Source organism: Homo sapiens, chromosome 18, assembly GCF_000001405.40.
Source record: "Homo sapiens chromosome 18, GRCh38.p14 Primary Assembly".
Lineage (NCBI taxonomy): Eukaryota > Metazoa > Chordata > Mammalia > Primates > Hominidae > Homo > Homo sapiens.
Window position 1 is genome coordinate 78,554,324 of NC_000018.10, and position 24,329 is coordinate 78,578,652.

Here is a 24,329-nt window from a genome sequence, read left to right on the forward strand (position 1 = left end):
GGAGAGGGCTCGGTGAAGCACAGCTGATATTTCAGGGTGATGAAACTATTCAGTACACTTCTATAATGGTGAATACATGATATGTTGTGTTTGTCAAAACCCATTAAACTTTATAGCACAAAGAATAAACCCAAGTGTATGCAAAGTTTTTAAAAAATCATTTGGAAGCCAGACATAGAAAAATAAATATCTCATGTTCTCGCCCATATGGGGGAGCTAGAAACGTGGATCTCATGGACATAGAGAGTAGAATGATGGTGCAGGGGCTGAGAAGTGGAGAAGAGAGATAGAGAATGGTTAGTTAATGGAAACATACACTTAGGTAAAAATAATAAGTTTCAGTATTCAATAGTACAGTAGAGAAATTACAGTTAACAATAATTTATTGTATATTTCAAAATAACTAGAAAAGAAAAACTGTAATTTTCCCAACACAAACGAAAGATAAACAAGGTGATGAATATCCCAATTGCCATGATTTAAACAGTACACATTGTACACAAGGATAAAAACATCAGCCGTATGCCAAAATATGCAAAATCTGCACAACTACAACACATCAGTGAAAATCTGCATAACTACAACACATCAGTGAAAATATTTTAAACATCATTTGGGAGGTGGGGAGATTCCAGCATGGAATGCAGCCTGTGACAAAAGAATTGTGATTGTATCCCAGGGTGTGAAGCAGCCTCCCTGCAGGGGCGAGTGGGTGCAGCATGCTGAATAAGTGACTTTGGAAACAGGTGGGATCCATGAGGCACAAAGACCGGGCCTAAGAACTGTTCTCTGGCTGATAATGTTGTTTCCAGGGGAGGTGTGGACTAAGAACTCTGAAACCACGCTACACACGCAGAGGAACCAAGCAGCTAAGTGCATGGACAGTGATGGTGGGTGTTAGCATCTTCCAGACAGAGTGGGAGGTTATAGAGAATTGGGGAGAAAGGGCTGGAATGAGCCATGCAGAGCTGAATGAAAGCCAGTGGCATCACTACAATCATGGGGCGTAACACGCACACACACAGATGTGCTGCCACATACCTGTGCACGCGCCTGGAGGCAACCACCCAGCAGGAACATCGCACCCCACCCCTGTGCCTCGGGGTTCCATGGGCTACATTTATCAGGCTGAGGAATGCCTCCTGCTGTTTGATGAAAGACTTTATCAGGAGTGGATTTGGGATTTGTCAAGTGAGACTGAAGCAAGAGCCATCTTAGAAGCCTAACAGATGGCCCCTGAGTAAGAAGGGCATTCTTGGGCTTTTCGCGACGGGCATGTTTCCAGCCCTTGTGACACGGGGTGCTGCTCCCACTCATCCTTTTGGGGGGCTCCTCCTCTGGCCCCGGGCATGGTCCCTGCAGGACCGACCTGCTGAACTGCACTCGACTTAACTCAAGATCTGCAGGTCTCTGGCGAATTGTCTCTGAAGATCTCTTCTCTCCAGCTCTCTGCCCTGGGGACTCTAACTCTCTTGTCTAACTGGATGCCCAGCTCTGATTCCCCCATTCAGGGGGACCACCAGGCTCTCCCTGGGTCCCGCACTGTGTCGTGCCTGGGAGACTCTCCCAGTGATGTTAGGAGAGTCTGGATGCTGTTTAATCCCCAGCATGCCTCTCCCGCCTCCTGTCTTTAATGGATTGCTCTTTTGTTGCCTGAGGTCCGATGTCTGGAGTGCCACTTTTTCATGCATTTCATCTATTTTTTTAGTTGTTTCAAACAGAAGGGTACCTAAGGTTCCTATGACTCTATCTTGACCAAAAGCAGAAAAGTCTGTTCAAGGTATTTATTTTTCAGGTAAGAAAGACTTGTTGATATTTAAATGCTGGTGGGGGAAAAAAACCACAGAGAGGAAAAAGTAAAGACAAAGCAGGCAAGAGGCGGAGAAGGCTCACGATGGCTTTAAGAACCTGCTGAACTCGGCGGCTGTGACTTTAGCATCAGTCTCCATTTACCTGATGTTCTTGGAAGCTCTCGGCAGCCCAGGCTGATCTGGGATTGGGTCTTATCAGGAGTTGCCTCCATTTGCAAGAACGTGGTGAAATTGACAGAAGACACAGTTACGTCATGGTTTGGGGGGAACTGCTAGCAACGAGCCATCAATATTTAAGGAGAAAGTAACAGAATCCAGGGAATGGGAGCCCCAGGAAAACTGAACAAGTTTGGGGAGAGACCTTATAGTAATGCTTGCTCTCGTTGAAGGAAGCCGTGCTTTTCCCCGATCTGTTCACTGTGCTGTGTGCCTTCCAGGCATTCGCAGTCCCTGGGACCCTGTCCGTGTCCATCTCTAGACTCCGCCTGCAGCTGGGTTTCCTCGTGCCTTCTCAGCTTCCACACATGGAGTCCATGATTCTGACTTCCACACAGGATTCAGCTGAAATCCCGCCTGTTCTTAGACTGTGTTCTCTGTGGGCCCTTTGCTCACTGATCTCGTCCACGTCACACTCTCGTGATTCTGCACTTAATATCCATCTGCCTTGTGTGGAATGCTTCTCTTCTTGGAGGACAGGAAGCGCGTCTCAGCAGTTTTTGATCTGTAGCAACTGGAATAGTGAATTCAATCAGTATTTTTTTGAAGGGTGGATTTTAATTAGCCGGGCATGGTGGCACAAGCCTGTAGTCCCAGCTACATGGGAGGTGGAGGCTGCAGTGAGCTATGATGGCGCCACTGCACTCCAGCCTGGGTGACAAAGTAAGACCCTATCGCCGAGGAAAAAAAGAGTAGATTTAGGTGTATTATTGTATACTACCAGACACTGTCAAGGTTTCACACTTTATTGTGTGGTTCAGTAAGCAACACCATAGAATTTCTCTAATAGGCAACCATTTGACTTTCTAAGTCAAATTTGGTAATAAAAAGAAAAAAACCATTAGAAGCACGTTCCCTGAAAGGTAAGTTGTGCTGTTCTCGGAGACGTGGACCTAGGCATTCCTAGGATGAGTTCTCACACCTGGGACAGGAGTGCTCTGCCCCGGTGCCACCTAGTTCCTGCCTTGGTCAAGACAAAGGGGCCCTCCTCTCCTGGTCTCATAGGGTGACCATATAATTGATCGCCTCAGCCATGATGTTGTTGAGAGTGAAAGGGGCTCTATTCATAATTTCGGTAGAACAGCTGGCAGGAAGCAGGATTGATCTGTGCATTCAGGGTATGGAGTACCAGGCTTACAGGGTCTGGGCTGCAACCCCGTCTTAGGAGGGCAGACAGCGAGCCAGGCTGTGGAACAGATGTCAGAAGGGGATGATGGCCCCAGCATGCCATGGTATCAACTACCCCCAGAGCTGAACGGGGCTCTCAGCTGTGGTCACCAGGAACTTCAGTCCCCTCTGCTATTTGTGGACCCCAAGCCCACATCTTTCCTTTCCTAAATAACAGCAGCCTTTATCTAGTGTGCAGAAAGGAAAACATCTTCTTACACTGGGGCCGCGGCCGTTGGACCAAAGTGCCAGGCTCTCCAGCCTTTACTTTCCAGTCCCATGGCGAGGGGTCCATGTTCTCCTCTCTGGGCAGAGAGGGAGTCAGCATTCAAGGAGGGAGAATCATCCTGAGGACAGAGTTTAAAAAGTCGTAAAGCCTTCAGTGTCATAATTCAGAATGTTACTTTGCCACATATCCAAAAACGTTCACTTACATTATTAGATAATGACAAGGAGCATCACATAGCCAGATAGTCCTGTTTAGGACTGGACACACAGGATCCTAAGGATGAGAATAGACGCGTGACGAACAGGACACACAACCCAGGAGCCAAGGAGAACTGCCCGGCTTGGGGATAATTCCTATGTAAATGGTAACATACAAGTTTTCTCCACACTGGGGTCCTCGGCGTCATTTTAATATCTGAGTAAACCTGGATTGTGCCCCATAGGATTTAGCCCAAGATCTGCAGGTGGCACGTCCACTTCCCGGTCAGCTCAGCCCATACACGTGGAAACCACACTTTACGCTCCATGACCCCTGCCCTCCCCACCCTACATCTCCAGTCTTCCCCTATCTATCTGCAGGCGCTGCTGCCCCCGGCCCAGGCCCTTGCCTCCCTCTGAGTGAGCTGGCGTGGCCTTCCAATGAATCTCCTGGCTTCTGCACTGGCTTTCTTCAACCCCATTGCCCAAGAGATTCCAGAGTAATGTTTACTTAAATGCAAATCCAGACTCATCACTCCTCAGCTTTAGACCTTTGAGGGTCCCCTGTGGCTCTTTGAACCCCTCCTGTAGCTGCTTCGTCTTCCAGATCCCAGGTCCAGCCCCCCGTGGCCGCCCTCCCTCCTCCCCAAGTGCAGCTTTGCCAGCCTGCGCCTTCCCTCATCCACTTTCTGGACAATGCTCGCCCACGGTAGGGTGTCCTGTTATCCCCTCCGACCGAGATCTGATGTTCACAGCTCTTAGCACAACCTGTGATTGTTTCACACGTGAGCTGTTTCCTATCCGCCCCCTCGGCCAACAGAAAACCGTGTGACAGCAAGGATGGCACTGCCGTGGCCCACGTGGGTTCCATGTCCTTCATGGTGCCTGGAGTTTGTATGCTGAGATCACTGTAGACACGCATGCAATTGTCAGGAAGAGAGAGATGCCTGGCGTCCTTTACCCAGTTCCGCCACTTGAAAAATGACAGTAAAATCTCAGCACGAGGACAGACACAGACGCATCCCTCACACGAGGGTCCCTCCTGCGGGCCTTTTGTAGCCGCAGCCACTTCCCTCCCACCCCCTCCTCCCCAGCCCCTGGAACCGCCGAATCTGTCCTCCACCCCTGTAGTTCCATCACCCTCAGGAGGGCTGTGTACACCGAGGCCTTGCGGACATGGCTCCCCCGCGGGGGCGTGGCTCCCTGGGGTGAGTGTGGCTCCCTGATAGTGGGCGTGGCTCCTTGGTGGTGGGCGTGGCTCCCTCACGGTGGGTGTGGCTCCGTCGGGTGGGCGTGGCTCCCTCAAGGCAGTTTTGCAGACATGGCTTCCTCCACGCAGCCTGTTTCGTTTGAGTCCATCCTGGTGGCCAGCATGTTGGGTTTGTGCCTTTCATTGCTAAGTGGTGCTCTCTGCTTGGGTGCACTGCAGTTCATCAGACCCTGGAGACAGTCCCACGTGTCCCCCTGGGTGGATTCTGTGGGTTGTCTCTGTTCATTCAGCTTGAGATCTTGGGGCTCTTGGTCTAATGAGCAGCGTGGGTCTGAAGCTCGGACACCATGCTGCTTCTGAGACTCTGGGCCTAACTCAAAACGTTAGTTGTGGTCGGCTTCTCCTGACATTGCTTAGTGGATACCTGGAGACGCTAACTCCAAACTTGTGCCAGGTGGAAGGGAAGTCCAGCCACCACCCAGCCCCATCCCTGCCTGGGGAGCTGTGGTAGTCCCAGCTTCCACTGGGGCACCCACTGACACTACTGGGGGACTCCTTGCCCCTGGGCGGGTGAAAGTCCTGACTAACCTGGCCTCCTCGGAGACTACCCTGCAGGGAGGGGCAGGGACCTTGTTCCTTCCCAGGGGAGTGGACATCAGCTCCCCAGTGACCACGCCAGGCCAGGGTTCATCACAGGCCAGTGGGGGGCCAAATGGCAGCTCCCCACGCGACCTTCTCTGAGACCACCTGGTGGGGGCCGGGTTGCCCCATGACAGCCTGACGAGGGGAAGTCGGGGCCCCAGCCTTTGCTGGTGTGAATGACCCCAGCTGCTCAGGGCATTTGGCTGGGGTGAGGCAGTCACTGTCTGAACGTTTTCTGTATTACTGGGCTGTCCCATTCTAGGTCCTCTGCCTAGAAGGATGAGGCTTCTATTGGGTTGGTTTTTGTTGTTGCTGTTTTGTTTGTGCCTGTAGGTGTTCCCCGGTCACCACTTTCTTCACCTCCCAGTCTGGGATGTATGAGGCCATGGGAAAATGCAGGCAGCCACCGCCCTGGCTTCCCTGGTCCTGAGATCTCCAGACGGCCTCCTAACCACCGTCAGGGCCCTTCAGGTTTAGGCAAGGATCACGTCCAGCGTTTCGGTTGTGCTTGGTGGGAGGGATCAGAAATGTCCCGCTACTCCGTCTTGCCAGGAGCAGAAGTCCCCTGCTCACCAGACTTTATGCTCTTCCAGGGCAGGAATTTTTGTCCCTTTGTTCATTGGTGTATTCCTAGTGCTCAGAACACAAATGAGTCATCAATAAGTATTTGTATCTTTTTTCTCCTATCTGTAACTGTGCTTGCAACTCAAAAGCAGTGAATGTGTGTCATGCTCATTTATCTTCCCTTTTCAATCATTTTCCTTTTTTACAATAAGAAAGTGAAATAGAATATCTTTCACAAAATGTAGAGGGGTTTTTTACTTGTTTTCTAATATGGAAAACTTTTAAATTTCCTAAGAATGTAAGTTGCAATGTTCTATTCCTACATTCTTTTTTAAGCTAATAATTAATTTATTTTCATTTTCTCTGCAGGTAAATGCATCAATATGAATTCATCAAAATGTCTTTGTTCAGTACCTCTCTGCATGCCGCACTATTCACTGCAATATTAATAAAGGTAGAGAGAAGTGGTCCCAAACCTAAAGAAACTTCCAAGGCAAAGCAGCTAACCATGGTCTGTGCCCCTCTCAGTGACCGGCTTTTCTAACAAGCAGCTAACCATGGTCTGTGCCCCTGCTCAGGCACTAGCTTCTCAAACAAAGCTGCACTCAGCCTTTGGTCTCAGATCCCAATTTCATATCCTGAATTATGAGATTCAGTATGAAGACCACTGTCACTTTAGTGCATTTCACTCTGTCCCATGCATTTCACATGACACCTGACACCCAGCAGGACCATGGACCAGCCAGCCTTCCCAGTGTGAGGGAGCCTAGCCTAACAGGGACCACCTGTTCACGGCCACTGAACTCCTGACTTGATGAACGCTGAGGAGGAGCCATCCATGATCAAGTTGAGGAATTTTGGAGCTAGAAGGAATTTTAGAACCTTCTCAGACAGTGATCATGAACCATTCTCAGATCAATGATCATGAAGATCAGAAAGATTCTTTGGATGCTGCAGATCCAGGCAGCTTCTAAATCACAGAGGTCTGCAGCCACCTGTAGGTCACCTTGCTGCACTCACGTGGGCCTGTTTCTCACAGTAATAGTTTAACTGTGTGTGGGCACCTAGTGCTTGTCTTCACTGGCAGGCTCAGCTGGACTCCTCTCCTGTAAACATGCTTCAGTGACACCACACAGATGCAAGGCTCATATGTTTCATCACAACATGTGAATCACGTGGTCCTCTCAAATCCATTATGGGAGCGATCCCACCAGCCTGGACTTTAGCATGTCCTTATCACAGTTGTGAACATGCAGACTGTATGGAGCCAAATGCTTCTGCCTGTTTTCAGATTGGCTGCAACCTTTGGATGGGGCTGCTCTGTAAAGCCCAGCTCCCGGGGGTGTGAACCTGACCACACCCTGGCCATGCAGCTCCCCCTGGCCATGCAGCTCCCCCTGGCCATGCAGCTCCCCCTGGCCATGCAGCTGTGCTTTGACTTTTCCCAGCAAACATGATGCATCATTTTTTTTTCCTAATGAAACAACACCTGGACCCTTCCACAAGCAGCCACCCGCTTTCCCGCAGGAGCCGTGCTGGATGTATGTTGTGTCCTGCTGCTGAGGATGCATTTAAACTCTCACCACTTGGCTTGTTTCAGTCTCTGCTGTGGTTCAGTTTGTCAGAAACAAAAGTAGAAATAGACGTGCAAAAGGAAGACTGTTTTGAACGACATCTTGAGAATGGTTTGCGGTATCCGTGACTCGGGCATTATTTGTGGTTACAGTGAGAGCTGAGAAGCTCTGAGATTCCTCCATCCCTCTGCCCTTCCCACTGAAGGCACAGAAATGGAGAGTGTGCTGCCTGCGTCCCTGTGCCGTATGTGCGTGCTTGATGAAGCTGTGAAGGTTTTGGCTGCCCTTTCGTGGCTTCTGTTGTTTTCTTGGGGGCTCAGTGGGATGGAGAGTCTGTTCTGCAGCAGGACATGCCAACAAATTGCATCACTTCTGCCTCGGTGACTGCGGACAATGACATGCCATATGCCAGCGGCAGGAAATGAATGGGCTCATTTACACTGGCACCGGCGCTGCGGCCTGTCAGTCTTCAGAGGCCGGCCACTGCAAATTGGAAGGTGGCGGAGACGCAGAAACCTCCCAAGCTTCCAGGCCACATTAGTCTGGAAGCTCGGAGCAGGGGCAGAGGGAACCCAGGCGAAGGAGGTCCCCTTGCTTGCTATGAATGTTAGCCTTGCAGCTCCAGAAAACTGACCGAGTGAAACCACCACTCTCTGCCCACCCCCTGCACCAAAGGAAAAGAGAAATGGAAAACTGTTGAGTGCATTCAGCTGCAAGGAGAAAACAAAAACACAGTAGGTGCCGCACCCCGGCATGCAGAGCGGCTTTCCTACACACACAGAGGCTGCCACAGCGGCCTGCCCCGACGGCGACCCCACCGCCTCGCCTGGGCACCCGGCAACGCCGCAGTTCACATTCGACCTCCGGCCTCTCCGGCCGCGCGGCGTCTGTCTCCGTGCATGGCAGCCGGGGGTGGTCGGCAATGATTGAAGAGGCCGCGTCCTGGCGACCAGCGCTGCTAATGAACGGGAGGGAGCGGGTCAGGGATCGCCCGCATGGCAGCCCGGCAAGGGCGGAGCCGCCGTCCATTGTCCCTCGCATTTGTTCTCAGGGCAGCGAGGGGGGTCGGTAGCAATCACGCGCTCTCTTCTTCATAATCACTATAATTAGCGTCATAATCTGAGCTGGGTGAGCTTGGGGCAGCTTCCTGGCAGAGTAACTCACTTTTTAAATAATAATAATAATAATAATAATAATAATTGGCATTGCAGGGCCTTTTCATCCAAGTTTAGACGGCCTTATGGAGATCAACCGAGTCTGGATTGCACCCTGCCAGAGAGGAACCTGAGACACTTTGCAAGGAGCTGGGTGCGAAGCAACCTGGCCCGGGTCACAGGGAGGTGCCGGTACGGAGGCCGGCGTCCAGTGAGATTGGATTCACAGGTTCTGGGCCCATGGCAGCCTATACGGAATGCCTGAGACCTTCGATACAATGGACTGATGTTAACTGAAGGCATAAACAAGAGGTCTCTCGTGCTCCTGGACATGAGCAGGTGGAGGATCCTTAGGACACAGCCCGTGCTGCTTCCCCCGGGCCCCGTCGTCCCTGCCATCCACTCACCTTTCCCTCCTGGTTCAAGGACTCCTGTTAGGAAAGAAATAGAGAATGGAACGATACCCACTGACCTGGGCCCAGGCACTTCTCATTTCCAGTTGGTTTGATAAGACATAAATATAGATTTCCCGGGTTTTGCCCTCATAAGGAGTGCATTTAAAATAAAATTATACCAAGTCATTCTGATTCTAAGCAAGCATCTAGACATTCATAGGTGGGAGAGAATGTGTTCCAGGCCTCCAAAGAAAGATCGCACTCAAAACCCCCAAACCCCCACACCCCACACCCCCACACCCCTCAAACCCCCACACCCCACACCCCCACACCCCACACCCCCACATCCCACACCCCACACCCCTCAAACCCCCACACCCCTCAAACCCCCACACCCCACACCCCCACATCCCACACCCCACACCCCTCAAACCCCCACACCCCACACCCCCACACCCCTCAAACCCCCACATCCCACACCCCACACCCCCACATCCCACACCCCCACACTCCTCAAACCCCCACACCCCACACCCCTCAAACCCCCACATCCCATGCCCCATACCCATATACCCCCTCACCTCCCACACCCCCCACACCCCACATCTGCACACCCCACAACCTCATATTCCCACACCTCCTGGACAGTGTAACCCTGCAAGCTCACCCCTGGCACCCCTTGCCCCACCTGCCCAGGTGGATGAGGCCATCAGCCTCACACTGAGTCCCAGAACAGCCCTGGCACGCAGGTGTCCATCATGGTTTCCCTGGTGTCCCGAGCCCCAAACCGCTCCGTGGAAAACACCGAGCTGAATCAACAGGGGGAGAACCCGGCCCTTCTCCTCCTCCCCTCCCTAAGGCAGGGGGAGAACCCAGCCCTTCTCTTCCTCCTCTCCCTAAGCCAGGGGGAGAACCCAGCCCTTCTCCCCCTCCTCTCCCTAAGCCGTGCGTCCTGAATGTGACTGCTGCATCCTAAACTCCTCCTTCCTCCTCAGGAGTTTATTCCCACCATTGGAGCCTTCTGTTTTGAGAGGTCTTGAGAAAACTTGCTTTTAGTCCCTTAAAAGCCCCACTTTTAAACCGATGGCCTTTAAAACTTTGGGCCCTGTGCACTGCGTCATGTCTGAGCGCTGGCATCCACCGCCTTGCAGGGGCCGGAGTCAGGCCCCTTCCAGATGGCCCTGAAGTGCACAATGGGGCCTCCATTAGACACTTCACAGATACGATGAATGCGCTTCTCCCTCACAAAGACACACGTGAGGGGAGTGAAGTTGTTTGCAGTCTGGGTTTCACAGTCCTCCGGCCCAAGAATGTCATCCTTTTCCTTTTGGCCGTTCCCGAGCCCCACCCCCCACCCCCGCCACTGGGCTGGCAGGGAGGTCTTCCAGAGTGGAGCCACGCTGCCCTCACCCCGGGGCTCCTGGCCTTGCAGGGAGATGGTGGTGCTGACAGGCGGCCCGATGAAGTATGTCCAAGGCCAGGTGATGCAGTGGAGTTTGAAGGAGCAGTGAGTTCGAGCCGGGGCCTGTGACTTGGGGGAGGCGGCAGCCGCTCCTGAAGCCCTGGGATGAAGAGCACGTGGAGACAACATGGGCAGAGGAGTGGGAACCAGGAAGAGAAGCAGCTTGGAGAACCATCAAAGCTTCTATGAGGTGGTGCAAAGCCACAGTGAGCAGAGGTGCCCTCATCTGGATAGAAACACAAAAGGAGAAACAGGTTTGGTGAGTGTGTGCATTGGTGTGTATGTTCGTGTATGCCAATGCTATGCATCTCTGTATGTATATGTGCTGTGTCCATGGCTGTGTGTGTATGCACACGAGCATGCATGTGCTGTGTGTTCATGTGCATGTGTGTGCATGTGAGCATGTGTGTTGTGTCCATGTGCATGTGTGTGCACGTGAGCATGTGTGTGCTGTGTGTTCATGTGCATGTGGGTGCACGTGAGCATGTGTGTGCTGTGTCCATGGGTGTGTGGGTGTGCACACGAGCTTGTGTGTGCTGTGTCCATGTGCATGTGTGTCCATGTGAGCATGTGTGTTGTGTCCATGTGCGTGTGTGTGCATGAGCATGTGTGTGATGTATATGTGTACATGTGTGTCCACATGAGCATATGTGTCCTGTGTGTGTGCATGTGTGTGCTGTATGTGTGCATGTGAGCCTATGTGTGTGTTCTGTGTCCATGTGCATGTGTGTGGATGAGGGAGGGAGAATTTTAGGTCTGTTATAGAGATATCCAGTTAAGCGATGTGAAAAAAACAACAACCAGGTCTAAAGTTTGAGACTGGAGATGGAAATTTCACTAAAGTTCTAGGCCGAGTGGGATGACTGCATAAAATGAGAAGAGGCTGGGCAGGAACCTCACATTTGGAGACATTAAAGTGGAAAATTCAACAGAAGCACCAGGACAGGGGTCAGGGTACCAAGCAGGAATCTCAGGGGGCACCCTTGAGACTCAGTTATAGGATCCTGGTACCCACTTAGATGGAGATTATAAAAGGGCCTAGAAACGTAATATTTGAAGAGGATTTTGTCAGGAGACATTTTAGCAAACTGTGATTTTCTAAGAGGAAGGCGTAGGGACTGCTTGTCCTTCATCTGATAATCAACAGAGTCTTCATCACAACCTCTAAACCAGATACATACAATCTCATTTTGTCCTTTAAGAAGATAATGTGTGACCCTGGCCTGAGAATGAATGGTAAAAGCTTTTCTGTGGCTGAAAATCTGCAAGAAGCATAGGAAACTCCAAACGCTTGAGAGAAGCTCAGGATCCCCTTGAAAAAAGCAAGCTTGCATTTCCCATGCAAGTGGTAAGGGTGTAAGTTAGTGAAGGAGACAGGGGAGGCAGTCTTTGGAAAACTTAGAACAGTTTCCAATCAAAGGTTAATCACAGATTAAGGAAATCAGACATCATCCCTGAAAAAATTATCCAAAGAGGCAAAATCTTTAATTTAAGAATAATTAAAATGTCTAAATAGCTTTTTTTGAGCATCTGGTTCCACTAAGATGGAGCAGCCCTTCCTCTCAGGCCCAGTGTTAGGACTAAAGCCCTGGGCACAACACAGGAAATACAGAGAGAAGACTCTGGAATAAGGAGAGGAGCTGGACAGATGAGGTCCCCAGGGCTTGAGGGTGGCCTGGGGCAGATCCCCAGCGTGTCCTAGTCCAGGAACTGCAGAAACCTCCAAGCTGGAGCCGCCAATAGGCACAGAAAGAAAATCCAGGAGAAGGCTATTTCCTATGACAGGGAGAAGGCCGGGGAGAAGGGCGGCCCCAGAGAACAGAAAGGTGTGTCAGCAACACCCATTCTGCTCTACCAAACACCCATGGAACACACAGGCCCCCCACAGCGTCACAGGCTGACCAGACACTGAACCTCCACAGCACTCTCAGAGGTGATGGTGCAACTCCGCTGACGTCCCAACCGTGGCACTGAGTAGGGGTTGGAACTGCCGTGCCCAGCTTGCCCTCCCATCCACCTTCCTGGTGTCACCTGCAGCCAGGAGCTGAGCCAGCACCTCTGCTCAGAGGCCATGAGCTATACGAGTTGCTGCCCACCTTCCCTGGAAGGCATCAGTAGGACCAACAGGAAACTGAATGCCCCCCTCAGCTCATCTGCAGTGAGGCAGTGTGAGCTGGTCCCCCACAGTGGCCAGAGAGGTGTCAGGACTCAGGAGGGGGCTTGCAGAAAGCTGAACGCACCCACCCACACCTCACCAGGAAGACTGCCTGCTAAGACACGTTCCTAAGTAGGATCCAGAGTCTCAAATGTCATCAAAATGGCCAGGATCCAATCAACTCACTCATCACAGGAAGATGCAGAAAAAAGTCACAATGCAGATGAGAGGACAATTGACAGACACCAACACTGAAATGAACCAGTGCTGAAATGTCTGACAAAGACTTTAAAGCAACCATCATAAAATGCTTCCGTAGCAATTATACATTCTCTTGAAACAAGTGAAAAATGGAAAATCTCAGCAAAGAAATAGATCCTATAAAAAAGGACCAAGTGAAGATGATAGAATCAAAAAAGGCAATAACTAAAACGTAAAACTTGCTGAGTTGGCTCAGTGGAGTGAAAACGGCAGAGGAGAGAATATATGTATTTGAGGACAGAACACTAGCATATACCCAACCTGCACAATGGACGGGAAAAAAGATTGAAAGAAATAAAAGCGCCGTCAGGGACCTGCGGGACGAGAAATGAAGAGCCGACATTCTTGCCCTCAGAGTCCCAGAAGGAAAGGAGAGAGCGTGAACTAAAACACCTTTCATGGATGGACTTCCCAAATCCTGCAAATAAATAAACAAATAAATAATTCAAGATAGTGAGTGAATCCAAAATTGGACAAATCCAAAGAAATCCATGACAAGATACATAATAATTAAACTTCTAAAAATTAAAAACAGAGAAAACATTCTTAAAAGCAGCCAGAAATGACACTTTACTTACAGGGAAATGACAATTCCCATGACAGGTTATTTCTCATCTGAAACCACTTCAGAGCCACAGAAAGAAGGAGAAAGCCAGAGCCACAGAAGGAAGCAGAAAGCCAGAGGAAGTAGCAGAACATTTCCTAAGCACCAAAGAAAAAATCTGTCAACCATACATTTTTATATCCTTCAAAAATCTCTTTCAGGAATCAGGGAAAATAAAGACATTTTAAGAGGAAGAAAAGCTTGTCACTAGCAAAAATACCTTTAAATAATGAAGGAATTTCTATAAATAAGAAGAGGTCGGGCACAGTGGCTCACGCCTGTAATCCCAGCACTTTGGGAGGCCAAGGCGGGTGGATCACGAGGTCAGGAGTTTGAGACCAGCCTGGCCAACATGGTGAAACCCATCACTACTAAAAATACAAAAAAAAATTAGCCAAGCATGATGGCACGCACCTCTAATCCCAGCTACTCTGGAGGCTGAGGCAGGAGAATTGCTTAAACCTGGGAGGCAGAGGTTGCAGTGAGCTGAGATCACACCATTGCATTCTAGCCTGGGCAACAGAGAAAGACTCCATCTCGGAAAAAAAAAAAAAAAAAAAGAAGAGATTACAGAAGAATGGTTGGAACTTCAGATAGGAAGGGTAAGCATTGAAATGGGTAAAAAATTGGTAAATATAGTATAATGCCTTCCCGTGAATTTCTTAAATCATATTTGATGGTTGAAGCAAAAATTATAAAACACTAAGTCATGTGCTGATCACTGCATGTACAGGAGATATTTAAGACAATTATATTTTTAAAAGTAGGGAGGATAATGGAATCTAAGTGAAAGTAAGTTTGCTATACCTTACTCAAAGTAGTAAAGCATCAATACCAGGAGGCTGTGATAACCTACGCATGTGTATTACAATAGCTGGAGCAACTGCTAGTTAAATTATACAAGGCAATATGTTTGAAAACATGACAAACCCCTCAAGATGTATGCTTTAAAAGTTTTCACAGGAAAACAAGAAAAGAGAACAGAAGAATGAGAAACAGAGGTTACAAACAGAAAACAGGCAATAAAATGGAAAACTTGCATCTGAATACATCACTAATTACCATAAATGCAAATGATCTAAATACACCAATTAAAAGGCAGCGATTAGCAGAATAGGTTAGAAGAAAAGAAAACATTATCCAACAGTAGCCTGTGTATAAGAAACTCACTTCAAATATAGCATCAGGTAGTTTTTTAAAGTAAAAGAATATATATATATAGCAAACAATTTTTTTAAAAGCAGGAATGGTTATATTAATATTAGACAAAATAGACTTCCAAGCAAAAAAAAATTATTAGAACCAAGAAGGGATATTACATTTGAGAAAAGGATGAATCAGTCAGGAAAAAAATAACAATCCTAAATGTGTATACTCCAAAAAACAAATGAAAATTAGAAGGCCAATATATCAAATATATGGGGTACAGTTAAAGCCGTGCTGACAGGAAAATTCATAGCACTAATTGCTTACATTTTTTAAAGAATAAAAATCTCAATAATCTAAGTTCCAACCTCAAGAACTAGAAAAAGAAGAGAAAAATTAACTAAAGCAAGTAGAAGAAGGGAAATAATAAAGAAAATCAAAAATCATTGAGATTGAGAACAAGAAAGCAATAGAGAAAATCAATAAAACAAAATGGCTGATTCTTCAAATCAATAATTATAACTTCTCGAAATATTTACAAACTTAAAAAGTCAGAAGACAAATCACCAGTGTCAAGAATGAAACAGGGATTTCACTGCAGTTCCCGCAGCTATTGAAATGGTAAGAGAATATTACAGGCAACTTTACGGTCACAAATTCAGCAACTTAGAAAACACAAACCAGCCCATTAAAGCCCAAAATATACCAAAACGCTACCAAAATAAATGAGATCATCTGAAGATTCTATAAGCATTACAGAAATTGAATTTGTAACTTAAAAGTTTTCAAAAAATAAATCCCAAGGCCTAGATTGTTTCAATGAAGACTTCTACCAAATGTTTAATATTGATTCTTTATCATCTCTCTCAGAACATAGAAGAGGAGGAAACACTTTTCAACATGTTTTATGAGGCAAGTTTTACCCTGAACCAAACCCAGACAAAAGGGAAAACTATAGGCCAATGTATCGAATGAATCTAGATGCAGAAGTCCTCTTATTAATATTAGCAAATTGATTCCAATAACATATTAAGAGACTTATACACTGCTGCCAAATTAAATTGATTCCAGATATTCTAGGATTGTTCAATATTTCTAACTCTACCAAAGAAATCCGCTATAACAATCTAAAAGTGATAATACGCTCAGATCAATTGATGCAGAAAAAGAATTAGACAAAATCCAACACCCATTTATGTTGAGAAAAAAAAAAAAAACTCTCGCTAAAAATAGAGGAAAATTTCCTCAACTTGAAATAGAGCACCTACCAAAACATCCTACTGCTAACATCATAGGTGAATGACAAAGCCTTCCCTCTCCAATTGCAGGGAACAAAATACACCCACATGTGCACACACACACAGGCACAGGTGCACACACACACACGAATGCATGTAAAACTGGTGAGATCTGAATAAGGTCAGTGGATTGAGCCAGTGGCCACTTCCTGGTCATGACATTGAGCTGTGATCATGCTGGATGTTACCACTGGGGGAAACTGAGTGAAGGGTGCATGGGATCTCTCTTTATTATTTTTTTACAACTGCACAATTGTCTCAAAATAAAACGTTAGTAAAATAGCTCTTCTTTTGTAGTTTGCAAATTAAAACCAGAAACATTAAGCTATATTGATTAAATAGCAGCTATGTATTATAGTCATTAATTATAAAATTACATTTGAATGGATGTCATAAAGATTTTAATAAAATAAAACCTAACAACTCTGAGTATTTTTGTAAAACAAAGCAGTTTTTGACTAGATTAAAAATGTTCAGTGACCAAAAGAAAGCAGTGTCACAGTTAAAGCTGATAGAGTTTGAACAACATGACTAAGTGTGAGCTCTTGTAAGGCAGAGCCACATTGTACGTAAGCATTTACTTTTTAAGGTCTGGTTGTTGTAAATTTTCTACTTTCTACTTAATATTTGATGCAGTGTATACCTGCCTCAATTTCTACTTTTGTGGAAAATAAGGTAGGAAAGTTCATAGTTTTACCAATTTCAGATACAGCAAACACTTTTCTTGCCACTCCCTGATCGGTAGCTCAGCAGGGGTACTCACCTGATCCCTGGGCTGCTGCCACAAAAAGCCCCAGACAACTCCTCAGGCACAGTCGCACCCACTGGAGCCTGGTTCAGGGATGTGCCTTCTGCCGGGTCACTGGCTGAAGTGGGCGAGTCATCACCACCTTTAGCGCAGTTTGCTTATCTACAGAAAGGGCGTCATGGGGTCCTCCTCCTTCCAGGCTCATAGTGAACATTTAGTGCTCTCACCTAGACAGACCACCTAGCACAGAACCTGGAACCCCACGGTGTTAGCCGGCATTCATCCATAAAATGATTTCCAGCTAGATTTTCAGCCATGGCCTCTAGGGAACCGGAAATGTATTGATGATGAGAGTTGACGGGTGGATTCCCATTGTGTCTGTTTCAACTCCAAAGATGTAGCGGCAGATCCACAAGCAGATCAAGGGACCTCAGTCACAGGCCACTCCCTGGAGGCCACTGCCAGTGTCCCATCAGCAAGGACTCATTCTTTTGCGGGCTTCAGAGCTCAAATTCCTGCAAACATACAAATGTTTCTTAAATGTGTGTTGTGCAAATTGTCAGATTTGAAGTCAGAAACAACCGTGTTTAAATCCAAATTCCTGCCATTTCTAATTGGGTGGCCCTGCACACATTGCCTAGTCTTGACACCCCCCATTCTTCCCACTGTGAATCACATGGAGTGACTGACCTCATGGAGCAACAGCATCAGGAAGTGGCGCCTGTGAGTGTGGACCCGTAAGAGGTGGCGGAACCCATGAGTAGTGAAGGGGCCCGTGGGTGGTGGCAGAGCCCGTGAGTGGCGGCAGGACCCGTGGGTGGTGGCAGGGCCCGTGAGTGGTGGCAGGGCCCGTAAGTGGTGGCAGGACCCGTGGGTGGTGGTGAGGCCCATGTGAGTGGTGGCAGGACCCATGGGTGGTGGCAGGGCCCGTGAGTGGTGGTGGGGCCCATGAGTGGTTGCAGGACCCATGGGTGGTGGCGGGGCCCGTGAGTGGTGGCGGGGCCCGTGAGTGGTGGCAGGACCCATGGGTGGTGGTGGGGCCCCTGAGTGGTGGCGGAGCCTCTGTAGAGGGTCCCCCTCCCCCCACACCCCTGCCTACCTGTGCTGGGTAGGAGATGAGAAGGGACATTGGCCAGCAGTGTGTCTGCACGATGGGAAGCCTGGCTGACTTACCAAGTTGTAAAGCAAGTATCGGGGAACAGCAGTCTCCAGAGATGTCCTTGTCCCAGTCCTGGGAAGCTGTGAATGGTTACAGGTGAGGAGGACGGCAGTCTCCAGAGATGTCCCTGTCCCAGTCCTGGGAAGCTGTGAATGGTTACAGGTGAGGGGGACGGCAGTCTCCGGAGATGTCCCTGTCCCAGTCCTGGGAAGCTGTGAATGGTTACAGGTGAGGGGGACGGCAGTCTCCGGAGATGTCCCTGTCCCAGTCCTGGGAAGCTGTGAATGGTTACAGGTGAGGGGGACGGCAGTCTCCGGAGATGTCCCTGTCCCAGTCCTGGGAAGCTGTGAATGGTTACAGGTGAGCAGGAGTGAGCTTGCCCATCAACTAAGTTTAACTAAAGAGGTTTCCCAGGATGGACCAGGTGCTCTGACATAATGGCAGAGGTTCTGCAATGTCGGGGAGAAAGGCCAGAGAGCTGGTGGCAGGAAGTTGCTGTGTGAGAGGCCAGCCAGTGCTGCTGACTTTGGAGGTGGAAGAGGGACCAGGAGCCAAGGGGTGTGGGCAGCCACCAAAGCTGGGAAACTCAGGGATGGTTTCTGCCCTAGGGCACCCAGAAGGAACTCACCCTGCAGACACCCCACTTTTAGCCAATGAGACCCCTATTGAACATTAACCCCAGAACTGTGAAGAATAAATGTGTGTGGTTTTAAGCCACTAAGCTGCAGTGATTTGTTGTAGCATTGCTAGAAAGCCACACCAGCAAGGAGTTGGCATGGGGCATGGTGCAGGCAGCCCTGTTACTCTGGCTGAGCCTACATATGCACATCCTGTGAGAATCACATGAAAGCAAAGGGTGTGGGGCATGGAGGCTTCAGACCTGCGTCCCTGCACAAATCTCATGTCAAATTGTAATCTTCAGTGTTGGAAGTGGGATATGTTGGGAGATGATTGGAGCATGGGAGCGGATTTCCCCCTTGCTGTTCTCATGACAGTGAGTGAGTTCTCACAAGATCCATGGCTAAAGTGCGTGGCACTCCCCACCCCCCTTCATCCTGCTCAGGCCATGTAAGATGTCTGCCTCCCCTTCACCTTCCACCATAATTGAAAGTTTCCTGAGACCTCCCCAAGCAGATGTAGCACCATGCTTTCCATACAGCCTGGAGAACTGTGAGCCAATTAAGCTTATTTTCTTTAAAAATTACCCAGTTTCAGGTATTTTTTGTGGCAGTGAGAGAATGGATTAATACAGAACATAGGTGCCAAAGAGTGGAGCATTGCTATAAAGATACCTGAAAATGTGGAACCAGCTTTGGAACTGGGTAACTGGCAGAGTCTGGAAGAGTGTGAAAGGCTCGGAAGAAAACAGGGAGATGAAAGTTTGGAACTCCCTAGAGACTTGTTGAATGGTTGGACCAAAATGCTGAGAGTGATATGGACAATGAAGTTCAGGCTGAGGAGGTCTCAGATGGACATGAGGAACTTATTGGGAAGTGGAACAAAGGTCACTTTTGTTTCTTAGCAAAGCAATTAGCTGCTTTGTGACCTTGCCCTAGGAATCTGTGAACTTTGAACTTGAGAGTGTTGATTTAGGGTATCTGGCTGAAGAAATTCCTAATCAGCAAAGCTTTCAACATGTGGCCTGGATGCTTCTAATAGCCTATGTTCATATGCATGAGCAAAAATAACCTAAAACAGGAACTTATGTTTCACAGGGGAGCAGAGCCTACAAGTTTGGAAAATTTGCAGCCCAGAAATGTGTTGGAAGAGAAAAATCAATTTTCTAGGGAGGAATTCAAGCAGGCTGAAGAAATTTGCATATGTAAAGAGAAGCCAAATGTTAATTGCCAAGACAATGGGAAAAAATGCCTTGAAGCCATTCCAGAGATCTCCAGAGTACCCTACCCATCACAGTCCCAGAGGCATAGGAGAGAAAAGTGGTTTCCTGAGCCAGGACCAGGGCCCTGCTGCCCTGCACAGCCTCGGGACACTACTTCCTGTATCTCAGTCACTCCAGCTCTACCTGTGGCTAAAAGCAGACCAGGTTTAGCTCAGACCACTGCTTAAGAGGGTGCAAGTTGTAAGCCTTGGCAGCGTCCACATGATATTAAGCCTGCCATTGTGCAAAGTGCAAGAGTTGAGGTTTGGGAGCCACCACCTAGATTTCACAGGATATATGGAAAGGCCTGGATGTCCAGGCAGAAGCCTGCTGCAGGGGCAAAGCCCTCGTGGAGAACATCTGCTAGGGGAATGCAGAGGGGAAATGTGGGATTGGAGCCCCCACACAGAGTTTCCACTGGGGCAGTGCTTAGTGGAGCTGTGAGAAGAGGGCCACTGTCTTTCAGACCCCAGCATGCTAGATCCAATGACAGCTTGCACTGTGTGCCTGGAAAAGGCACAGGCACTCATAGCCAGCTCATGAAAGCAGCAAGGGGGCTGTGTCCTGCAAAGTCACAGGGGTGGAGCTGTCCAAGGCCTTGGGAGCCCATCTCTTGCCCCAGTGTGCCCTGGATGTGGCATATGGAGTCAAAGTAGATTATTTTGGAGGTTTAAGATTTAACGACTGCTCTTCTGGGTTTCAGACTTGCACGGAGCCAGTAGCCCTTTTGTTTTGGCTGATTTCTGCCTTTTGGAATGAGAATATTTACCCAACACATGTGCCTCCATTGTTTCTTGGAAGTAACTAGCTTGTTTTTTATTTTACAGGCTCATAAGCAAAAGGGACTTGCCTTGTCTCAGATGAGACTTTGGACTTGGACTTTTGAGTTAATGTTGAAATGAGTTAAGACTTTAGGGAACTGTTGAGAAGAGATCATTATATTTTGCAATGTGAGAAAGACATGAGCTTTAGGAAGAGTCAGGGGCAGCATGATATGGTTTGAATCTCTGTCTCTGCCCAAATCTCATGTCAAATTATAATCCCCAGTGTTGGAGAAGCCTGGTGGGAGGTGATTGAATCATGGGGACAGATTTCCCCCTTTGGTGCTGTTCTTGTGATAGAGTTCTCATGAGATCTGGTTGTTTAAAAGTGTGTGGGCCAGGCACAGTGGCTCATGCCTGTAATTCCAGTACTTCGGGAGGTCAAGACAGGCAGATCATGAGGTCAGGAGATCAAGACAATCCTGGATAACATGGTGAAACCCCATCTCCACTAAAAATACAAAAAAAAAAAAATAAGTAGCTGGGCATGGTGGCACATGCCTGTGGTCCCAGCTACTTGGGAGGCTGAGGCAACAGAATCACTTGAACCCAGGAGCCGGAGGTTGCAGTGAGCCGAGATCACGCCACTGCACTCCAGCCTGGGTGACAGAGTGAAACTCCCCTCAAGCTTATGGCAGCAGAGAGAAGAAGAGCCAGCATGCTGGAGAGAAGGAAGGGCCCCCTCCCCTCTAGCCCAGCTGCTAAGGGCTTGGGCCTGGGGTCAGCCCTGGTGCTACTGGCCCTCGGAGAAGCAACACCTGCCTCTGCAGGCTGTCACCACAAGGTGCAGAAAACGCAGAGTCCTGAGCTTCATGAGCACAGCCCTCTGAGGGGTTCCTGCTCCTTCAGACCCAAACCCAGCAAAGCTGAGGGCTATGAAGAGAACTCCAAAGGCATCAGAGATGGAGCCCATGGCAGAGATAGATGTCTCCATGGGACCCAGGCCATTCTTCCTAGGTACCAGCAAAGGGCACCCTCAGATTATTCTGGTAGTGATCCAGTCACGTCTGTGAGAGACAAATAGCCCAGTCGATTCAGTCAAACAGCCAATGTGATTGACTTTCTGTTGTTCACTGACTTGACCAATTATTTGACTGCAATGACCTGATTTTTTCAGAATGGCGTACGCAAAGCCGCAACCCACACAATCAGAAAGAAAGGGAGGATTGGGGAAATGAGACAGCTTGGAAATCATCACGTTCCCCACGACTGAAGAGAAAGTGGAGGGTCTGGTTCGTTCTTCTTGTTACCTCAATAACCATTACCTTTCTGCGGGCTGGTGTAGACACTATCTCAGTAAAAGTAATATTAGGCACTTAAAAAAAATGAAGCATATTTGTGACCCTTCAGATGAAGTATAGTATAAATTAAAACAAAAGTGGCTAATTTTCAGGCCTCGTGGTCAGCAGTGGGGATGGAGAGGAGCTGCCAGCCCTGCCCGCATGGCACTCTTCAGGTGGGAGGGGGGCAGTCATCGCAGGAAGCCTTGGGGATGCTGGGCATTACATTGCAAACTTTGACCAGGAACTGGGTACTCTTCCTTCATTAAAGGGTTATCTCACTGCAGTGCCAGTCAGCAAGTGAAATTACATCAGGCCTCGGCAGTAGAGCAGCCTTGTTTGGCTCAGAGCCCTGTGCTCCAGCCTCTACCCAGGGCCTTTCCTTCCAGAGGCTTGATGCAGTCTCTGCCTCCTGCACCCAGGGCTGTGCTTTTCCAATTAAGAGCAGGCGGCCCAGCAGCACCTGTAAAACAGCAACGTTGCAGAGACACACTATAACAATTCTTTGATGTACAGAGCTAATTTTAGAGCCTTTGAAATCAATTCCTATCACTGATGGGTAAAGTCAAAATGGAAGGCCGGTGAATCAGGGTGAGGTCAGACTCATGTACAGGTCTAGGTTGATTGGTTTGCAGTAAAATCCCTAAGAGCGGCTAGCTTTTAATGAACTTCTAAAAGAAGTGAGCTTGTCTTTCCCGAGAACATGGAGCAGAAAGGTGAGCCCCTCGTGTCTGCCACCTAAGTGACTCGCCAGCCCGGCTGTGTGTGGACTTGAGAAACACTCACCAGGGCCCCCCATCCCCCACCTCCCCACTAGGGAAAGAAGGGCGAAGGGCAGCCTGCACTTCCTGCTCACCAGGGCACCCCACCCCCACCTCCCCGCTAGGGAAAGGAGGGCGAAGGGTGGCCTGCACTTCCTGGTGCTTGTGAAGTTGCATGGGGAGTGAAACCTGCTGGCCACCCAGCTTCCCGAACACAGAGGACATCAGCTGGAACACGGTCATCTTCTGCCTTTAACCAGGGGACTGACCAGTGCGCAGCCAGCAGAGAACGCCATCCCAACAGGCCATGTTCCACGGTGAAGAAATATTTCCAAAGAATCTCTCACCAATCAGAGCTGTGCAGCCCAGAGTCTGGTCCAGGTAGGATTTCCACATAGGGCAGAATCGGGGATATGGTTTATGTTAAATACATGGGGGTTGAGTAAAAACATACACACCCTACACACCCTAGTCCCCTGATCCAGTCAGACTTTTTAAATTACCACACTTGCTGAGACATTCCCAGTGTCATGAATTTCACCTACACGTTTCCACGAGACACATAATGGTCCTTTCTGTTTAACTACCACATCATCACTCTTTGCTGCAAGGGAGTCTCTGTTTTGGAATTTAAATAGCATTTTGATTGAGATTCAAAACTGGGTGAGCTTAATAATGAAAGAATTGAAAAGCCCATCAGCCTCAACCTAAGAAATAATCACGGTTCTCAGTCCTGCTCAGTTTCATTCCATGACGTTCTCTGTCTTCACGTAAAACTTTCCAAACATCATCAGAGTCCACAGAACACTCTTTGGAGTCACTGATTCACGGATCATGACAATGAGCGGCTGCCCCACATGCCTTCCAGACACTGTCTTCCCAAGTACTCTCGGCAGCGGGAACCCACTTCAGCAGAGGAGATCTGGAGCTGGCTTTTGGACACAAGGGATTTTAGATGACAGAGAAACATCCAAACTGAAAGTGCCTTCTTAGCTGGAAACCCAGGACGAATGATCAGGGAGGACCTGGGGAAGGGACTCCCTCCCTGTGAAAACCCAGTAACCCTCACAGGTACCACCATTGTCAGGATGGAGCCCCATCAAGTATTAGCTTTGCTTTCTCCAAAATTCTCTGCTTCAGGTGGCCCAGCTGCTAGATGTGATGACATACATGGGGAATGTGGCCGGTCTAACATCTGATGGTCTAATGAACGGTCTCACATCTGATGGTCTAATGAACAGTTTCATGTCTGATGGTCTAATGAATGGTCTAACGTCTGATGGTATAATGAATAATCTCATGTCTGATGGTCTAACATCTAACATCTAACGTCTACCCGTCTAATGACTAAGGGTTTAACATGTAAGCATCTAACGTCTGATGGTCTAAGGTCTAACATCTAACTTCTACCTGTCTAACATCTAAGAGTTTAACATCTAAGAGTCTAACATCTGATGGTCTAATGAACGGTCTAACGTCTGATAGTCTAATGAACAGTCTCATGTCTGATGGTCTAATGAACAGTCATGTCTGATGGTCTAACATCTAACATCTAACGTCTACCCATCTAATGACTAAGGGTTTAACATCTAAGAG

General features: G+C 48.5%; 1 long non-coding RNA gene across 1 annotated transcript, besides 4 other annotated features; it reads right to left on the reverse strand.

Annotated features, from left to right (window-relative positions):
* Positions 1 to 1,770: 1,770 nt before the first annotated feature.
* Positions 1,771 to 4,639, reverse strand: LOC105372220 (uncharacterized). The gene is made up of 4 exons (XR_935674.1): positions 4,389 to 4,639; positions 3,629 to 3,696; positions 3,414 to 3,541; positions 1,771 to 2,541 (listed from the first exon to the last, which is right to left on the reverse strand). It is a non-coding gene; the product is annotated as an uncharacterized LOC105372220 (long non-coding RNA).
* Positions 7,963 to 8,504: an enhancer, noted in NCBI's record as "H3K27ac-H3K4me1 hESC enhancer chr18:76322286-76322827 (GRCh37/hg19 assembly coordinates)". NCBI's record gives its function as "activates a minimal SCP1, AML or CMV promoter by ChIP-STARR-seq in naive H9 embryonic stem cells {active_cell/tissue: H9 hESC(naive)}" and the evidence as "EXISTENCE:reporter gene assay evidence [ECO:0000049][PMID:30033119]".
* Positions 8,505 to 9,045: an enhancer, noted in NCBI's record as "H3K27ac-H3K4me1 hESC enhancer chr18:76322828-76323368 (GRCh37/hg19 assembly coordinates)". NCBI's record gives its function as "activates a minimal SCP1, AML or CMV promoter by ChIP-STARR-seq in naive H9 embryonic stem cells {active_cell/tissue: H9 hESC(naive)}" and the evidence as "EXISTENCE:reporter gene assay evidence [ECO:0000049][PMID:30033119]".
* Positions 19,578 to 20,079: an enhancer, noted in NCBI's record as "NANOG hESC enhancer chr18:76333901-76334402 (GRCh37/hg19 assembly coordinates)". NCBI's record gives its function as "activates a minimal SCP1, AML or CMV promoter by ChIP-STARR-seq in primed H9 embryonic stem cells {active_cell/tissue: H9 hESC(primed)}" and the evidence as "EXISTENCE:reporter gene assay evidence [ECO:0000049][PMID:30033119]".
* Positions 22,135 to 23,334: an enhancer, noted in NCBI's record as "BRD4-independent group 4 enhancer chr18:76336458-76337657 (GRCh37/hg19 assembly coordinates)". NCBI's record gives its function as "activates an origin of replication core promoter dependent on BRD2, P300/CBP, MED14 and CDK7 cofactors, and independent of BRD4, by STARR-seq in HCT116 cells {active_cell/tissue: HCT116}" and the evidence as "EXISTENCE:reporter gene assay evidence [ECO:0000049][PMID:35650434]".